The following is a 17,590-nucleotide window of genomic DNA, read 5'->3' on the forward strand; positions in this document are numbered from 1 at the left end:
GCTGTGGCTAATGCCTGTAGTCCCAGCACTTTGGGGGGCCAAGGCCGGCGGATCACCTGAAGTCAGGAGTTCGAGACCAGCCTGGCCAATGTGGCGAAACGCTGTCTCTACTAAAAATACAATTAAAAAAAAAATTAGCCAGGCGTGGTGGTGCATGCCTGTACTCCTAGCTACTCAGGAGGCTGAGGCAGGAGAATCGCTTGAACTCAGGCAGCAGAAGCTGCAGTGAGCCAAGACGGCACCACTGCACACCAGCCTGGGCAGCAGAGCAAGACTCCGTCTCAATTAAAACAAACAAAAAAAAGGATATAACTTATATTTATGCATATGTATCAGCATTAAAATTTTAAAATTTCTTATGTATGATTTATTTTGAACCCCAATATATTAGAATAGTAGTACATGTATGCAGTTAGCCAATAAATGTGTATATTTGTGGGCACAAGCTTAAACATTTTTTTTTTTGAGACCCAGTCTCCCTCTGTCACCCAGGCTGGAGTGCAGAGGCATAATCTCAGCTCACCGAACCTCTGCCTCCTGGGTTCACGTCATTCTCCTGCCTCAGCCTCCCGAGTAGCTGGGACTACAGGCACCTGCCACCATGCCTGGCGACTTTTGTGTATTTTTTTAGTAGAGACGGGGTTTCACCATGTTAGCCAGGATGGTCTCGATCACCTGACCTTGTGATCCGCCCCCCCTCGGCCTCCCAAAGTGCTGGGATTACAGGCGTGAGCCACTGCGCCCGGCCTCAAGCTTAAACACTTTTTAGCAATGACCACGCAATTAAAAAGGTTTGAAGAGATTGTTCCTGTTAATGATCTTAATGTCTTCTGTAAGCTACAGACGTACAGGAATGAATTCAAAGATAAAAGTAAAATCACGGCTGGCGCAGTGGCTCATGCCTGTAATCCCAGCACTTTGGGAGGCCGAGATGGGTGGATCACCTGAGGTCAGGAGTTTGAGACCAGTCTGGCCAACATGGTGAAACCCTATCTCTACTAAAAAAAATATATATATATATATAAACTTGCCAGGCGTGGTGGTGGGTGCCTGTAATCCCAGCTACTCGGGAGGCTGAGGCACAAGAATTGCTTGTACCCAGGAGACGGAGGTTGCAGTGAGCCCACACGGTGCCACTGTACTCCAGACTCAGTGACAGAGTGAGAGAGACTCCGTCTCAAAAAAAAAAAAAAAAAGTAAAATCAGTACCTTACCAGTTTAAAAAAAAAAAAAAGACTTTTCAACCCAGAGAATGTCTTGCCAGAAAGATGATTTTACTACTCTGAAAATCTAGTGTCTCTAACAGGCAGGAAATGCCTCATGTTTAGTCAGGGCCAAGAAACGGTTTGGGGCCGGCTTAATTACTGGTCTATCTTTGACCTATTAGGACAGTGTATATGCTAAAGACGTTATGCTTGTTGAAACTTCAAAGGAAAGGCAGGGAAAATTAATGAAATAGAAGAGACCATTTCATTTGTTCAGTACTACTTGAGTCCTGCCTCTCAAAGTATTTCACTTTAATTTCTATCATTGACTAATAAAATGCATAGGATCAAAGTTTTTAAAAATTCAAAACCCATTTTAAAGGAAGAGGACCACCTTTTAAGAAAACAGGCTTATAGCACTTGACCTATTTCAATGTCAAAGCAGCACATCAAGAAATTATTTTTATATTGACAGACACACCTTTTAATAGGACTATGGTGTTCAGGCCTATACACAAGAACACGGTGGCTGGAAGTAAACAGGCTAGTGGCTCCTCCTAAAATTTCTGTTTGGCACTGGACGGGCTGAGAAGCTCTTGAGCATGTCTGTTTTTTCCAACTTTTCTACATCACTGGCCAAAAAACAAAAAAAGCCCACACATACATATACACATACACATACATGAGTACAGAAATACACAGACAGATGAGACAAGTGAAAGAAAGAAGGGTTGCAGTTGTCTTGCAAGGAATATGGCAGGATACCTGGGATGCTCTCTAATTTCCTTCTGAGCTCTTCATTTTCTTGTTGCAGTGAAATAACCTCCTGCTCCAGCTCTTGGCATCGAGGACAATAGCCTTCCTCGTCCTCCTCCTCCTCCTCTTCTGGCAGTGTAGATGAAGATGGGTGGCCATGGGATTCGGACGTTGCTGGGGAAGTCCAGCCACCTAATGTATGCACAGGAGAGGTTGACAGAGGATCCACGTCGGCCAGATGGCCATATTCACTGGCTGACGAGGGGTTTGGAGTTGGAAAGCTTCCCGAGAGCAGGTAATTTTGTAGAGAGTCAGTGAAAACCCTCAAAAAGGCAGAAGTTTGTTGTTTCCTTTGCATATACTGCATCTCTATGTCTACATTGTCTGAGGTCTGACTGTGGACCCCTTTCCCAATGTGACAGTGCTCCTGTCTTTCGTTGTAACTTGAGCCTTCCTGCTTTACGCAAGAAATCATGGACTGAGAATGGTTGGAGTCCAGGAGTTTTCCTCCACAATTTAAGAGGCTAAGAACTCGACTGCACTGCTGGGCAAAGGCATCCAAGATCATTCGACTCTCTGAAACAAATGAAAGGACACATCAGTGACCAACAGCCAACGGCAAAAGATAAATAAAGTCCTCAATTTTCAGCTTAACATTCAAACATGTTAAAAATATGTATTTCTACTGTCTGTCATAAACCAAGATGACACAATAAATCCACTGTGAATAGAACGCATAGCTTCCTGTTGTTCTGCGACTGCGGGATGCTTGCTGAGTCACACGCAGTCTCTTGCTCTAGGAAACGGCTGGACTGTGACTTTGGGCACCATATAGAGATTTCCCTCTCTGTGGCATTAACTGGCTGCACAGGTCTGAACTCACACCTTTGGTTTCATTAATATCCTTACTCTAAGGAATCGAGCCAGCCACTGCAGACTCAATTCCTCATTGATAGGAGGGCTTAAAGCAATCATTACTTCTATTTCTGGAGTGCCCTCATGCCCTTGCTATTAATCAGCTGATACAATCCCTGCAGAGAGTACATAGCTCCCAGATGCAAACTGGGGAAGAAAGATAAGTCTTTTTGAAGAGCTCACTAGAAATTTAAGGTAAAACAAAGAGTAGGCCTATGGGCACAGGATGAGCACAAAACTGTATGTGTCTTCTAACATCAGTGTTCACTATTCCTTCTTTTCATTTATTTGCTAACTTGGACTTCTTGTCAAGGCCAATGTTTAGGCTGACGTGTATCATTTGAAAATCAGTAGTATCACTTCTTAGAACCTCTTCCAGTAGATTGCCAAATATCCTAAAATGGCACGAGGCATGGGTGCCTGTTAGCCCATGTACATGAATTCTAAAGCATATTGTCAACCATTGAAAGCAAAAAGCAAACAAAAGCAATCAACCCACTGTAAAAAGAAAATGTAATTTAATGATATCGAAGGGTCTTGAAAATTTACCCCAAATATAAATGTCACAGGGTAGATTCGCTTCTTTCCTGATTGCCACCTAGAATGGGCTATTATAAATACAGAGAGGGGCACTTTTCAGAGCTGACACAGAAGCATGAGGATGTCTCTTATTTCCTCTCCCCTTTCCCAGAATAATGGCAATAAACAAAATATTCTAGATTGTAGATGCCTATAACTATTGTTTAAGATAAAAATGCAACTAGCACTAGCTCTCTCTGAAAATGTTGACTAGCTGCATTTTTTTCTGGAGGAAAGAAAACTTTCAGAATAAAAAATGGTGAGATGTTCAAGGGCTGCTATGGGAAAAATAAGCTAGAACAGCTTCAATAAGAAATCCCCTAGAACACACCCAGGATGTAAGACCAAGGAAACCACACTACAGGAGAACTCCATGCAGTGCTCAACGTTCCACTGTGTTCTTTTTTCTTATTATCCTTTCATGAAATAACTAAGATAGTCAGAGGAGAGGGGTCCAAGTGCTCTTTTCCAACTTTTTAATAAGAATATACATGTAAAACAGCTGGGTGCAGTGGCTCACACCTGTAATCTCAGCACTTTGGGAGGCCAAGGTGGGCAGATCACGAGGTGGGAGATCGAGACCATCCTGGCCAACACGGTGAAACCCCGTCTCTACTACAAATACAAAAATTAGCTGGACATGGTGGCGCGCACCTGTAGTCCCAGCTACTCGGGGGGCTGAGGCAGGAGAATCGCTTGAACCCAGAAGACAGAGGTTGCAGTGAGCCAAGATGGTGCCGCTGCACTCCAACCTGGCGACAGTGAAGACTCCATCTCAAAAAAAAAAAAAAAAAGAATATATATGTAAAGCCCATATAGCACAGTGTTTGGCACATAGGAAGCATGCCTTACATCTCCCAAATCCTGAATCCCGCTGAAAAACTGCAAGTCAGAACAGAGGCCAGATCTCTTCTACTCAGTAGAGGATCATAAACTGCACTGGAGTGTCAGAGGCCAGCACAACACCTTGAGAAATAGTTACTGAACACACAGCAGGTACTCCTGTACATACATAAGAGCATCTTAGTTTATAGCATTTTCAGATTTACTTGACTGAGGTAGGGGTAGCAAGTCCACCCTAGGCTGGTTGAGAGTCCACAGGACTATTTTCTTCTTAGAATAGTACTTTCTTACTCTTAGGAGCAGTATTACCCTCAGACCTTGGCAGCAGGACCGCCACCTGACCCTCCTTCTCCAGCCAATCCTGTCCACATGGCCAAGTACCCCAAGATCCAAGAATTCCCCACTCAAACTGCTTTAAAGATCTATGCTGCCATCTTCTCTGAGCCATCAATCCAAAGACAGAGACCATGGTGTCAGATCCTGGAAGTGTGGACTGGGACCTCCACATATGTGTATGTGAGGTCCCTCCTAGTGGAAGATAAAGCTAGGAGTGGAGAGAGAAAGACATGGGTTGGTTGTAAATTCCAAACCTGGTTACTGTGAAGGTGTATTTGCCAAGGTAGGTGGACAGAACATATTTTGTTAAACAATTTGTTAGCTTGATTTATACTTTGTAATTATCTGATATATGCTCTGTGAGGCACTATTTGTACTCTTATCCGGAGTCTCACAAAAATATTTGGGTGCCATTTATTTACAATGGCCAAAACCAAATAATAAGAAAGCCAACAGCTGAACTATACAAGTAAGAGGTTTAAGATGCTACACTCATTTTTTTACTTCCTGGTTTCTGTTCTTTTATTAGTAAAATCAAAGGATGATATTGATTGGGAATTTTCAATTCTAGCACAACAGCAGTTTTCATTCATTTTAATCCTATAATCCCATTCTAGACCTGAAGTTGTATTTACTGTTTGCATTTTAATCAGCATAGTCCCAATTGATTTCCCCTATACACCTTTAACATAACCTTGATGAAAGGGACAAAATATGAAAGTCTAAAACAGAACTGGCTAGTAAGAACTGCTTGAATGTATTTGTTCAGTGTCCTACAACACACTCAGTAGTTTTAATCACATTGATAAATCACATTAGAGTATAGATTTTAAGGGAAAAAAATCTGACTTAGGGACAAGCGTGATTTGTTTTCTTAACTGAAGGATAAACTTGTAACATGCTGAGAAAAAATCATTATGTAATATACTACATTATGAAGATAATCTATTAAAGTGCACTCAGAATATGAGAGAATAGTTACAATCATAAAGTAGTTCTTGCCTGCAGTTTTTTAAATGCTTCATTCTGAATTTGCTTTCAGAAATGATATGTACAAAAATGGCTATTGTCACCCTTAGAGTAGAATTTTTTCTCTTTTCATTACCTTGAATTATTTGAATATTATTTTAACATTGATACATGGAAGATTGTGATGAAAAATATTACCATTACATTCGGTGGAAAACAGCAAATCTTTCCACTTAATACACATTGCATGCAGCAATAGTTTTAGCCTTCTAGACAGAATATAATTATAAATCCAAGTACTGTGTGATGCCCATTATCACTAAGAAATGAAGTTCTGTTTTCATACAAACACAATTGAATGGCTACTGATCTATGATTCTTAACTCAGCAAACTGTGAACACGTATTATGATTTTTTTAACTTTTTTTTTTTTTTTTTTTGTTAAGTCATAGAATGCTCCACTCAAGTGATGGCAGGGAAAGAGAAAATCAACAGTTTACAGAAGGGCTACTTTATCCCTAACTTCCCTAAAATTAAACACCATAAAATGTTAATAAATCACAATCACAAAGCCCTCTAAAATGCCCACTTCTCTCTAATTTATTTTGCTTTATTGTGCAGCCTACTGGGAGATAATATTATGCTGCAAATTGTGCCTTGTCCGATTCCAAAATCTGAACCCATGATTATTTTTTTAATTAAAAAATTCATTTTGGGAAATTCGTCTGAATTTAAGAGGTTTAATCCATCCTATATCTGATAAGTGAATAAGAAGAGGGATGGGAAGTAGGCAATCAAATAGTCTCCCTACTTTACCGCCCCTCTTTGTAAGTAAAGCCTTGAATGGAATTTGCCCATCACAGCAGATCCCCAAGAGAATTCTGCTTCTATGAAGGAGATCACAGTAGTCAAGATTAGTGGTAACCTTTTGATTTTAGCCCAGCGAAGGGTGAAATATATTAATATTAAAAATGCAGAAGCAGAAATTTTTTTTAGTGACCTACTATCATGTATTCATATGTTATATCTACCCAACGATTTCTAACTAGTTCAAAATAGATGATTTCCTTAAAACATTAATTTAACTTATTTTTAAAAGAGGGCTTCATGGCATAGAAAATAGAAGTTAGAAAATCAAAGCATCTTTGGAAGCACCACCCTTGTCTTAAATCAATGAACTATGTCTTTTTTAAAAAATGCCATCCAATTTTTTTCATAATGGCAAACATCAACACAGCAAAACAGGATGGAATTTTTCTAAATAAATAAATCAATGATGTGTCAAAAATTAACAGATGAGTTAATATACTCGGTGCTATCAAAACCAGATGGTGCTTCCTAATATTCATCCTGCTCAGTCAATCCCTGAATATTTTCTGGACCATCGGTATATAAAATAGGATGCTGCTATTTGTGATGGCAAACAAAAGCAATCATGCCTGCCAAGCACATACTATAACAGGCAGCATTTCAGCTCTGCTAGACAGAAAGTAATTAGAATGCTTTTAATGTCCAAAAGAATGATGCTGATAGGCTGCCACAGATGTGTAGATTTATGAATATTTATATGGTGGTTTATAGCTGACACTTTTATCAGTTGAAGAAGATAAAATATCTGCCTGACTCAAAAGCTTGACAGTCAGGTTAATAAAATCTCATTAAAGAGAATGACCTATGCAATTATATAGGATTTATTATAATTCATTTTTGATTGTACTCTGCTTAAAGATGCAATTTCCCATTTCCTAATGCCAAATTTAGGCTGCATATCAAGATCTACGTGGGTTTTAACTCTAAGCCTCCCACAGAGGAAAAATATGCTTTTAAAACCATGGTGTATTACCCCTTTTAAGGAAAATTATACTCTTCATGAGATTTTATAAAAATGTTGAAAAAATCTATTTTTAATCACATATTTCTCTTCTTAGTTATAGCCCTTAATGGCAAATAAGATTCACTTCAACCCTTTCATCTTTTCACTCCATTTACTCTGGACACTCAGTTACGTCTCTTCTTCTGTCCTTGACTCATTTCGTAACATGAATGTTTTGACTATTTTCAGTTTACTAGGTAGCCTGAAACACAGCAATTACACTTCTGCGAGGGTGCAACAGGCAAAGCGCCGCTCCCACCCCCCCCACCCCACCCAGTATGCTTAAATGGCCACGGGTCTGTGCACACATGCTTATTGGTTCAAAGTGGAACGACTAGTTTCTCAGAGAACCAATCAGCTCTTCAGGTGGCTGTTCTCTGATGGCCACTCACATCACTGTGCCTGTTAAGAGATGGCTTTGTCCATCAGTGATTAATATTATGACCACAATTCATGATGTCTAGTTCTATGGCTTTCTTCCCCCCAGACTATTTCCCTCACTGTATGGAAGAAGCCTACCATCCAATTCCCATCTTTCCAACAAGCACGAGGGATCCAGCCCTTGGTGCTATCAAGCTTACCCCTCTCTATGACCTCCTTAAAAACAACAAAAGCAACCGTGAGAATAAAAGGAAATATGGAGAAATTCGAAGGGCATCAAAAAAGCCCCTCTTCACTCCTTTAGATTTAGTGATGTTATAATTTCCATCTGGGAACAGAGACAAAATAAACTAAACAGGACATCAGAAGGAACACTGAAAAAGAACATTTAGAACAAGGTGAGAAAAGGAAGGAAAAAAAAAACCCACATGAAGGAAGGACAGCAAGGAAACTGCCAGGGTAGAAGTAACCAAGGAAAGAACAGCAAGTGACTGGTGCAGAAAAAAAGAAGCAATACAGGAAATATATAGCCGGCTAAAACTATGGATGAAAATGGAAATGAGAAGGGGGTAAATTTACAGTGTATAACAGGAAGTAAAATATGGAAAGACAATCAACAAAGGCTGGAAGGAGAAGCAAGAGGAGATCAAAGACTGACCTGGGCAGATAGAGGGGAAAACGTCAATGAAAATGATGGAACTGAGGCTACGCAAAAGAGTAAAAGCAAAACACAGAAAATGGGAAAAGGACCCAAATTGCTGGCAAAGAACATAAAAATACAGGATGATAAAGCTGAGCCTAGAAATAAACACATGCCTGAACAAGAAGTAGTTTAGGAGAAAATAAGATCTCAAGCCAGAAAGAAAGAAAATGAACCTCCTTAAGAAGGGGGGAAAAAGAAAAAAAGTAAGGAGGAAAATCAAGTGAGCCAACTGCCTAACAAAGAATATAAAAACACAATGGAATATTGGGGCAAGAGCAACTGAAAAAAAACATACCCCACAAACAATAAGGAAGTCCACCTAAGAACCCCACTGAAAGCAATCAAACATCTTCAAATCAGTGAGAGATGCAACAGATCAAGTCTTCACTATAACCTGTAATTAGGTTTTCTTTTCCAAAACCAATCCTTCATGTGTCAAAATATTGACAAACAACAGAATTATTACTGGAGGCATCTATAACTCATTTAGACACAACACTTCTATTTTCCACAGGAGAAAAAAATAAGTCTCAAGATTCACTGACATGCAGGATTTGGGGGGCTTCAAAGTGCCATAAAAGGCCTTGGCAGGAACTTTTAGTTCTAATGAGTGGATAAACGTGGCTGCACCCACTGGGAGCTGGTGGAGAGGTCCCTTGGGCGCAGGCCTCAGGCTGTGGCCTCGCAACCAGCCCATCTCGCTCCCTGCAGGCAGGCAGTGGGCTGCTTTGCCGGGCAGCGCCCGCAGACTCGAGATAAAGGAGAGGAGTCGCGGACCCCAGAGTGGGTGCCTCCCACGAGGCGTTTCTGTAAGGCTCGGGCCGAGATGCTCGGGAGGGGCAGGACCCCGCGGCGCGGCAGCGTGCCACGGACGGGGACGAGGGGATGGCGGGGACGACGACGTGGGCGGTGGGAGCAGAGTGCCTGCGACTCCCGGGGCAGGAAGGAGGGGCGGGATGGTTCCCCGCGCCCGAAATCCACGGCGTGGCGGACGCGGAGGAGCCCCGAGTCTCACAACCAAGGGGTGGGAAGGAAAAGGGACAGAGCGAGACAGAGCGCCCCCGAGAAACACAGGCGCACAAAAAAAGACAGAAGGAAAAACGGAACTGAGAGCCAGCCAGCATGGACTGCGACAGCGTGAGAGTGCATCAAAGAGGTGGCGAAGAAAGCACTAGAAGGCAAAGGAGAAGTGGAGAGAAGAAGAAACAAATGGAGGAAGAAGGAGAAAGGGAAAAAGCAGACGGAAAAAGTGAAGTAGTACGAGGGCGTCCCAGCGGGGCGGCCCGAGAAGCTCCAGCTTCTTCCCGAGCGGCCGCCGCTATCCCCCGGGGGGGCGTCTGGCCCCACTCCGGACCACGCCCGAGCGATCCTGGTCGCCGACTGCCACAGCCGTGCTTCCCGGCGCGGGATCCAAGCCGCGGAGCCACCTGTTAGGCGCGCGCCGTCGGAAGCCCAGGCGCGGCGGCGCTGGAGAATCCTCTCGAAGTTTCCGGGTGCGCGGGGAGGCCCCAGGTGCGCCCCGACATCCCGACACGGCCCAGCACGGGTAAGTGTCGGCGGCCCCCCGCTTCTCCTTCCTGGGTCCCCTCCCGCTGCCCCCGGCCGTGGCGGGAAGGAAAGTTGTGCGGAGAGTTGGTACCTGCGCTGAGCTCCAGGCTGGCGCTGTCGCTACCCGTGCCGCCGGTGCCGGCGGCCGCCGCCGCGCCTGGGCCATACCTGACGACAGCGGCGAACGAAGACGACGAGGAGGCGGCGGGGGACGCGGGCGGCGGCTGCGCCGGAGTCCTCAAGTGGCCCTGGGATGTGGCGGGCGTGCAGGACGGCGACGACGACGAAGCGGCGGCGGCGGCCCGGCCGGGCCCGGGGGGGTAGGAGCTCTGCGCCTGGAACTGCTGCGGCGGCGGCTCGCTGCTGCTGATGGAGACGGCGGCGTGCGGCGCGAAGGGCGGCGGGGGCGGCGGGGGCGCCCGCACGTGCGGCAGCTCCACCAGGGTGGGTCGCTCGTAGCGCTTGGCCAGCGCCGGTCTCTTGCTGGGGAACGTCTTGAGGACGCTGTAGGGGCTGCGCTGCTTGTAGATTTTGGGGACGCTGGGCCCCTCCTCTGCCGGCTGCATCTCTTCCTCCATCCGGCGCCTCGGGGCCGGTCCCTCGGAGCACGTCCCCTCCCCGCCGGGCGCCGGGCTCCGAGGGTGCCTCCGCCGCCTGCCCGCCGGGTCTGCCCTGGTGCGCGCGTGTGGGAGGGTGTGTGTCTGTGCCGTGGCCGCCGCCGCCGCCGCCTGTCGCTGAGGCTGGCATCGCCGAGCCCCCGCGCGGGGGGCTGCCGCCCGAGCTCCTGATTGACAGGCTGCCTCGCCAATGCCTGGAGGGAGAAAGGAGGTAAAGAGCAAGTGTTTAGGGTAATATCTGCTAATGATAATGGGGGCGGGGCGGGGCCTGGCGCCGCAGCCGCCCGCGGGGTCTGCCTGGCGGCTCCGCGCCTCCGACGGGGAGCGGGGGAAGGGGGAAAGCGAGGACCTGGAGGACGCCCGGGAACTGGTGAAGAAGGTGGGGATCCGGGATCTGGCTACGGCGAGACTTTAGAGACCCAGATGTGGACTCGAGGCTTCTGCGGCTGCGGGCGGGGTCCGGCTTCCGAAACGAGCTCGTGGCGCCCCCTGCATGACCCCAAACTCTCGGGGTTGCACAGAGGAGGGGCTAGTCGTTGGGGCGGGGTCGTCAGAGTACGTGTGTATTACAGCAAGTTCTTCTACCAATCGGGAATTGCTCTCCGATCCTTCTGAAAAGAACCTCTTGAAGATCTTGGCCCGGGTGGTCGCGCGGTGTTTACGGGGCTTTGGGGTCCTGCTTTCCCCGAGCATCGCGGCCTCTGAGCTCATGCGGAACATAAAAGCTCGCAAGGCGTAGAACTTTTTCACGTTTTCATTTGTTTCCCGTAGGGGCCCCGAGAACGTGCATGACACCATGATTTCCCCCCCATTATAAAGATGAGAAAACCGAGGCTCTGAGAGGTTGAAGGGAATTGCCCAAAGTCAGACACTCGGGAGTGTGCGGCTGTGTTGCACTGACGCATCCAGGTTATTTGAAGTCAACTCCTCACTTCCCATAGCCAGTAGCCTCTGTGCAATTGAGTGGGGAAATGTCCTGATACCTCCCTTTGAGGTGATGATTACTTTCAACAGTGTCATTTTTAATATATGTATATGTACTTGCAAGCCCAGGGAAACACGAGAACTCACTCCTTGCATTGTTTTACTCACTGCAACTGGCGCCATCCGGCGAGGGTCTGGAGGGTGCCCAATTTCAGTAGCCGTTTGAATGAGAGATCTCAGTCGTTGGGAGGAAGATCCTCCATGGGATGCAGATGTCCTGGTCTCTCCCAGCCACTTTTTGGGGCAGAGGGTCCATTGCTCCCTATCCCAAATCACCCCTCTTCTAGGCCAACCAGCATACCCTGCCCCAGGTTTGCTTTTCAGCCTTCCTTTTTCGTTCTCCAGGTCAGAGTTCTGGATGCTCCTTGATGTAGGACCCTCATCTCTGCACTCTGAAGTTTGTTTCCTTTTCAGAGCCTTCCTTTTATTCTTAGGAAGGTGACCCATTTTCTTCTGGGGGTTCACATCTTTTGGCCTCTCTTTCCCTGGTCTCCTTCCCTTTGGAAGCTTTTTCTCTCTGCCTTGCTGGTTCAGCTTCTGTATTATTCCCCCCTAGATTGTCTCCCTCTCTCCTGCAGCTTCCTCAGATGGTGCTGTGTCCCCCCCCCAATCCATTTATTAGAGATGAAATAAATAATGCCATAAATATAAGTATTTGGGAGTCCAGGAACTGTCAGGGCTGATTAGGGCATAGAGGACATTTTCTTTCTCATTATGCAAAAGCATTTCATGGGGAAATAAAAGAGGTTTCATTGTAACTCATGCATGTCATATTTCAAGGAATTCAAGATATTAATCATATTTAACATTATTTGCAATGTTTCTCCCTGGCTTCTGAAAACTGCTAAATGAGGACACGTGGATCACTAGGAAAAGGAGACAAGCATGAGAGGGACAGTTAAGAAATAATGAAATGCTGGTGAAAGAGAAAGAGAATGAGATGCCAGGGAGATGTTTCTTAGGCACGTAAGTGAGAAATGGGGGAGCTACTTCTGAGACGTGAGACAGCTGAAATTGAATGATATACTGGAGGAAATAAATGATAACAAACCTCCCCACACTTTCCTTTCTATAAAGCAGTTCTGAATTTTGCATTGAAATGTTTTCCTCCCACTTTACTCCCAGATAATTTGCCAATAAGTCCTGGCTTTTGAAAAGAAATTGGGGTGGTGGCAGTGTGGGGAGTTAAGAGGAGAGAAATCTTTTAGTTCTTCTGAAGAAGTAATTTCCTGTACCTGGGGGCTTCCTCTTCTATGTAGTTTTAAATGTATATCCTCCTCACCACTTAAACACCTTAAGAGACTGGGAACAATACTTCTATTGTATATTTTCTATTGAAAAGGACATGCTGTCCTTTACATCAAAAAGTGATTATTTCTATAAAACTGAAATAATCAAATTAGTCATTTAGCTTTTAAAAGTGGGGGGAAGGGGGAGGGGAAGGTGCCCAGAGGAAAAATATTTAAAAGTTTTAAATGATCAGCTTTCAGATTTTCATGTGGGCAGTCACCTATGTCTGCGTCCTGAGTTCATAGAAAAGTGAAGTACTTAAGAATCACCCTTTTAAAAATAAAATGAGCATTTACTCTAAGTGTGGAGTTGAAGGCAATTTTAAAATTATAGCTGACCACTAACCCCTGCCTGAGATTGTATTTAACTGAGTATTGTACATAGATGTAATGTATTTAAGTGTTCATAAAATTACTGGTAGCACTCTGTGAGCATCTTGCTCTAAATTGTGGCCTAAATTATCAGATAGTGACTTTGCTGATATCTTCTCTTAGGGGTCTCATAGGAGCTGATAGAATAGTAATTATACCCATGCTTTAAATCTTTTTAGATATTTACTCTTATCTCAAAAAAAAAAAAAAGAGAGAGAGAGAGTGAGAGTGAATTTTGAAAAGCCAAGTGGCTATTTATGGACAGGGTGATTTTTTGATTGGCAGCATGTCAATTCCTTGAGCCATCCAGAATATAGCTTTTAAATAATAGCTCAGCCATGGGAAATGCTTTTTATTGCACCAATTTCAATGATATTTAATGAGCTTCTGATTGACTGTTTGATCTCCCAATGTTTTGTGCTACTTTTAATTCATTTCGTATAATAGAAAAAAAAGTAATTGGAATAAAATTTTGTGACAAGATAATGACCTTCCACTTTGAAATTAAATGTCTGATTAGCTTCAACATTTTAATGCCAAGATGATATTGCAGCAGGAACAGGAGTATGCATACTATCATTTGGTACAAAATGACTGAGGAATACTCCTTTGCTTTTCCCATTGCATAGCAAAAAAGGTGTGGTGGCCATATAATCGTAGGTACATAGGACTAGAAGGGACCTATGCAGTCTTTTATTCTTGTGACTAAGCCTCTGCCCATAGTTTTCGATGGCCCTGGCAAGTGGTTGTGCAAACCATGTTTAAATGCCTCCACTGATGGGGATCTTGCTACCTTCAGGGACCTTATTCCCCCAGGTATTTATTCCACAAATATTTATTGAGTGTCTACCATGTGCTAGGTACCTTTCTAAGCACTGGGGGATATAATGTTACCCAGATCACAAGGTCCTACTATTATGGATTTGGGGGGAGCAGGTAAACAAATAAACCAGTAACTAACTGAAAAATATTATTTCAAATAGAAATAACTATGATGAGGGACAGGCACAGTGGTTCATGCTGGTAATCTCAGCACTTTGGGAGGCTGAATGGGGAGGATCACTTGAGCCCAGGAGTTTGAGACCAGCCTGAACAACATAGTGAGAGCCCGTCTCTACAAAAAAATAATAATAACTGAGCATGATGTTGTGCATCTGTGCTTCTAGCTTCTTGGGAGGCTAAGACAGGAGGATCACTTGAGCCCAGGAGTCCAAGGCTGTAGTGAACTGTGATTGTGCCATTGTACTCCAACCTGGAGGACAGAGCCAGGCCCGTCTCTAAACAAACTATGATGAAAAACCAGGGTGGGAGACTGGGCACAGTGGCTCATGCCTGTAATCCCAGCACTTTGGAAGGCCAAGGTGGGAGAATTCCTTGCATCCAGGAGTTTGAGACCAGCCTGGGCAGCATAGTCACACCCTATCTGTACAGAAAATAAAAAATTAGCCAGGTACGGTGGCTAATAGCACCTGTAGTCTCAGCTCCTCAGGAGGCTGAGGCCGGAAGATCACTTGAGCCTAGGAGGTTGAGGCTGCAGTGGGCCAAGATGGTGCCACTGCACTCAGCCTAAGCAACAGAGTGAGACCCTTTCTCAAAAAAAAAAAAAAAAATAGGGTGAGGCTGTTACTTTTGATAGAATGTGACTGAGAGGATCTCTCTGAGGTGGAACAATAGAGCTGAGAGTTCACTCATGAGAAAAAGCCACCCATGAGAAGAGCAGTCCAGGCTAAGGGACAATAGGTGCAAGAGCCATAAGATGGGAACAAGCTTGATGTTCTCAGGGAGCTGAAAGAGGGGAAGCCATGGGAATTGCCCTGGCAAGGGGCAGAGCAAGGAGGAGAGGAGAGAGGCGGGCTGGGCCCAGGCTGTGCAGGTCCTTGTACATCACGGGACACTTGGGGGATTTATTCTAAAGGCAGCGGGAAGTCTTGGAGGTAGTTACACAGAGGTAACAACATGACCAGATTCATGTTCTTAAAAAATGATGTTTTCAGAAAAGGTAAAATCATGACTCTCATACGGACATAAAAATGAGCACGTGTTAAAGATTGTATTAAACATAATTATTCAGGGCCCTTACACTGTTCAAAGGGAAGCACAGATTGGTATGGAATAAAGGAATGTTGAATTGAATGTGTAAATGGTTTTTCCATGGAGGCATGCAGGTGGAGGAAAGGGAACCTATACCAGATGGGACAGTTTGCATGTCTGTCAGTTGCCTAAACTTGCAGAGTTTAGAACTTGTAAAAATAGTTCAAAGACAATGAAAGAGTAGAATCAGATAACTGGGAAGGGTGTGTTGCTTGTAGGCAGTGCAGTTTTCCAATGAAACACAATTTATTTTCTACAGTGCTTTCTTTAAAACAACTTTCTATTTTGAAGTAAGTACAGATTCACAGGAAGTTGCAGAGAGGTCCCAGGTACCCTTCATCTGTATCCTCCGATGGGTACATCTTATGTCACTAGAGTTATGTGAATGGAATCATGCAATTATGTGATCCTTTGAAATTTTTCACTTAATTGAATGCCCTTGAGATCCACCTGTGTTGTTGTGTGCATCGGTAGTTTGTTCCTTTTAATTACTGAGTAGATTCCATGGTATGGATGTACCACAGGCTCTTTAACCATTCACCTATTGGAAGACATTTTGGTTGCTTTCAGTGTTGAACTGTTAACAACTCTTGCTGCTCTGAACAAACACAGGTTTTTATGTGGACATGAGTTTTATTTTTGGGGGAATAAATGTCTGGGAGTGGATTGCTGGGTCATTTCATAGTATTTTAAAAGATTCATTCTGCTTTGTGGACAATGAACTTTAGAGGATCAGATTGGCAGCAGGGAGACAATTTATTTTCAAAACAGCGGCTGAGTGATCCTTTTAAAATATAATCATGGGCCGGGCGCGGTGGCTCACGCCTGTAATCCCAGCACTTTGGGAGGCCGAGGCGGGCAGATCACGAGGTCAGGAGTTCAAGACCAGCCTGGCCAATATGGTGAAACCCCATCTCTACTAAAAATACAAAAATTAGCTGGGTGTGGTGGCATGCACCTGTGGTCCCAGCTGCTTGGCAGGCTGAGGCAGAAGAATCACTGGAACCCGGGAGACGGAGCTTTCAGTGAGCCGAGATCACACCATTGCACTCCAGTCTGGGCGACAGAGCGAGATTCCGTCTCAAAAAAATATATATGTGTGTGTGTGTGTGTGTGTGTGTGTGTGTGTGTGTGTGTGTGTGTAAAATGTGGTCTCCACTCTGCCTTTTCTTGTCTTCCTCCTTAGAGTAAAATGCAGAGTCCTTAAAATTGACAGCTTAAGGCCTCTCATGATCTGTCACTACCCCTTGCCTCTGGGACCTCATTTCTTGTACTCCTGTTACGGTGGTGGGAGTGGTTGGGTCCTTGCTCCCAGAGCTCCCAAGATGGTGGCAGGCCATTTCCAAGATGGTAGCAAGCCTTGGGTTCTCTGACCTGGGGTTCTTGGCCTCATGGATTCCAAGGAATGGAATCTTGGGACATGTGGTGAGTGTTATAGCTCTATTAGAAGCTGTGGGTCACGGAAGAGAACTGTGGAACCCAGTGACTAGCGTTCAGCTCGATTAGGACGAACCTGGGCACTTAGCCATGCAGGAACAATGGCAAGCCTTTAGTCCGATCGGGAGTGGCAATGGGCGCCTTGCTGGATCAGGAGCACAGCAGACACCCTGCCAGATCCAGAGGGATGGAAGTCAGTGGCAGGTCTGCGACGGCGGCAAACAGCAGTGGTGGACGGCAAGCGAAAGCTCAGCTCGAGCTGTAACAAACATGGACCAGAAGAGAGTGCGGTTGCAAGATTTAATAGAGTGAAAACAGAGCCCCCGTACAAAGGGAGGGGACCCAAAGAGGGTAGCCATTGCCAGCTCGAATGCCTGGGTTTATATCCTGATAGTTGTCCCTCCAGCTGTGCTCTCAGGCAATAGATGATTGGCTATTTCTTTACCCCTGTTTTTGCCTAATTAGCATTTTAGTGAGCTCTCTTTACTATCTGATTGGTCGGGTGTGAGCTAAGTTGCAAGCCCCATGTTTAAAGGTGGAAGTGATCACTTTCCCAGCTAGGCTTAGGGATTCTTAGTTGGCCTAGGAAATCCAGCTAGTCTTGTCTCTCACTCCTTCCCTCCCTCACTCCTCTCCAGCCCTACTGGTCTTGAACAGGCTAAAAATGTCCTGTCTCATGCAGGATTCTTGCT

At 45.0% G+C, this 17,590-nt stretch overlaps 1 protein-coding gene across 3 annotated transcripts in view, besides 4 other annotated features; it reads right to left on the reverse strand.

Moving 5' to 3' along the window:
* Nucleotides 1-11,198, reverse strand: part of BEND4 (BEN domain containing 4) — a 41,803-nt gene extending 30,605 nt beyond the window's left edge. For 2 of the 3 annotated variants that reach the window (NM_001159547.2, NM_207406.4), the window contains exons 1-3: nucleotides 11,075-11,198; nucleotides 10,200-10,919; nucleotides 1,971-2,537 (exon numbers count right to left, since the gene is read on the reverse strand). In NM_001159547.2, coding sequence (NP_001153019.1) covers nucleotides 1,971-2,537; nucleotides 10,200-10,686 — 1,054 coding nt within the window. In that variant the 5' untranslated portion in view covers nucleotides 10,687-10,919; nucleotides 11,075-11,198. Of the gene's footprint in view, nucleotides 1-1,970; nucleotides 2,538-10,199; nucleotides 10,934-11,074 lie in introns of those variants that run through there. The other variant, XM_017008185.2, reaches the window with a different exon arrangement.
* Nucleotides 6,617-7,590: an enhancer, noted in NCBI's record as "VISTA enhancer hs847". NCBI's record gives its function as "enhancer in: forebrain[7/8]" and the evidence as "EXISTENCE:transgenic organism evidence [ECO:0001131][PMID:17130149]".
* Nucleotides 9,672-10,515: an enhancer, noted in NCBI's record as "H3K4me1 hESC enhancer chr4:42153146-42153989 (GRCh37/hg19 assembly coordinates)". NCBI's record gives its function as "activates a minimal SCP1, AML or CMV promoter by ChIP-STARR-seq in primed H9 embryonic stem cells {active_cell/tissue: H9 hESC(primed)}" and the evidence as "EXISTENCE:reporter gene assay evidence [ECO:0000049][PMID:30033119]".
* Nucleotides 10,281-10,370: a silencer, noted in NCBI's record as "silent region_15390". NCBI's record gives its function as "represses an Ori minimal core promoter by ATAC-STARR-seq in GM12878 lymphoblastoid cells {active_cell/tissue: GM12878}" and the evidence as "EXISTENCE:reporter gene assay evidence [ECO:0000049][PMID:35858748]".
* Nucleotides 10,571-10,890: a silencer, noted in NCBI's record as "silent region_15391". NCBI's record gives its function as "represses an Ori minimal core promoter by ATAC-STARR-seq in GM12878 lymphoblastoid cells {active_cell/tissue: GM12878}" and the evidence as "EXISTENCE:reporter gene assay evidence [ECO:0000049][PMID:35858748]".
* Nucleotides 11,199-17,590: the final 6,392 nt, after the last annotated feature.

This window comes from Homo sapiens, chromosome 4 (genome assembly GCF_000001405.40).
Source record: "Homo sapiens chromosome 4, GRCh38.p14 Primary Assembly".
NCBI classification, from domain to species: domain Eukaryota; kingdom Metazoa; phylum Chordata; class Mammalia; order Primates; family Hominidae; genus Homo; species Homo sapiens.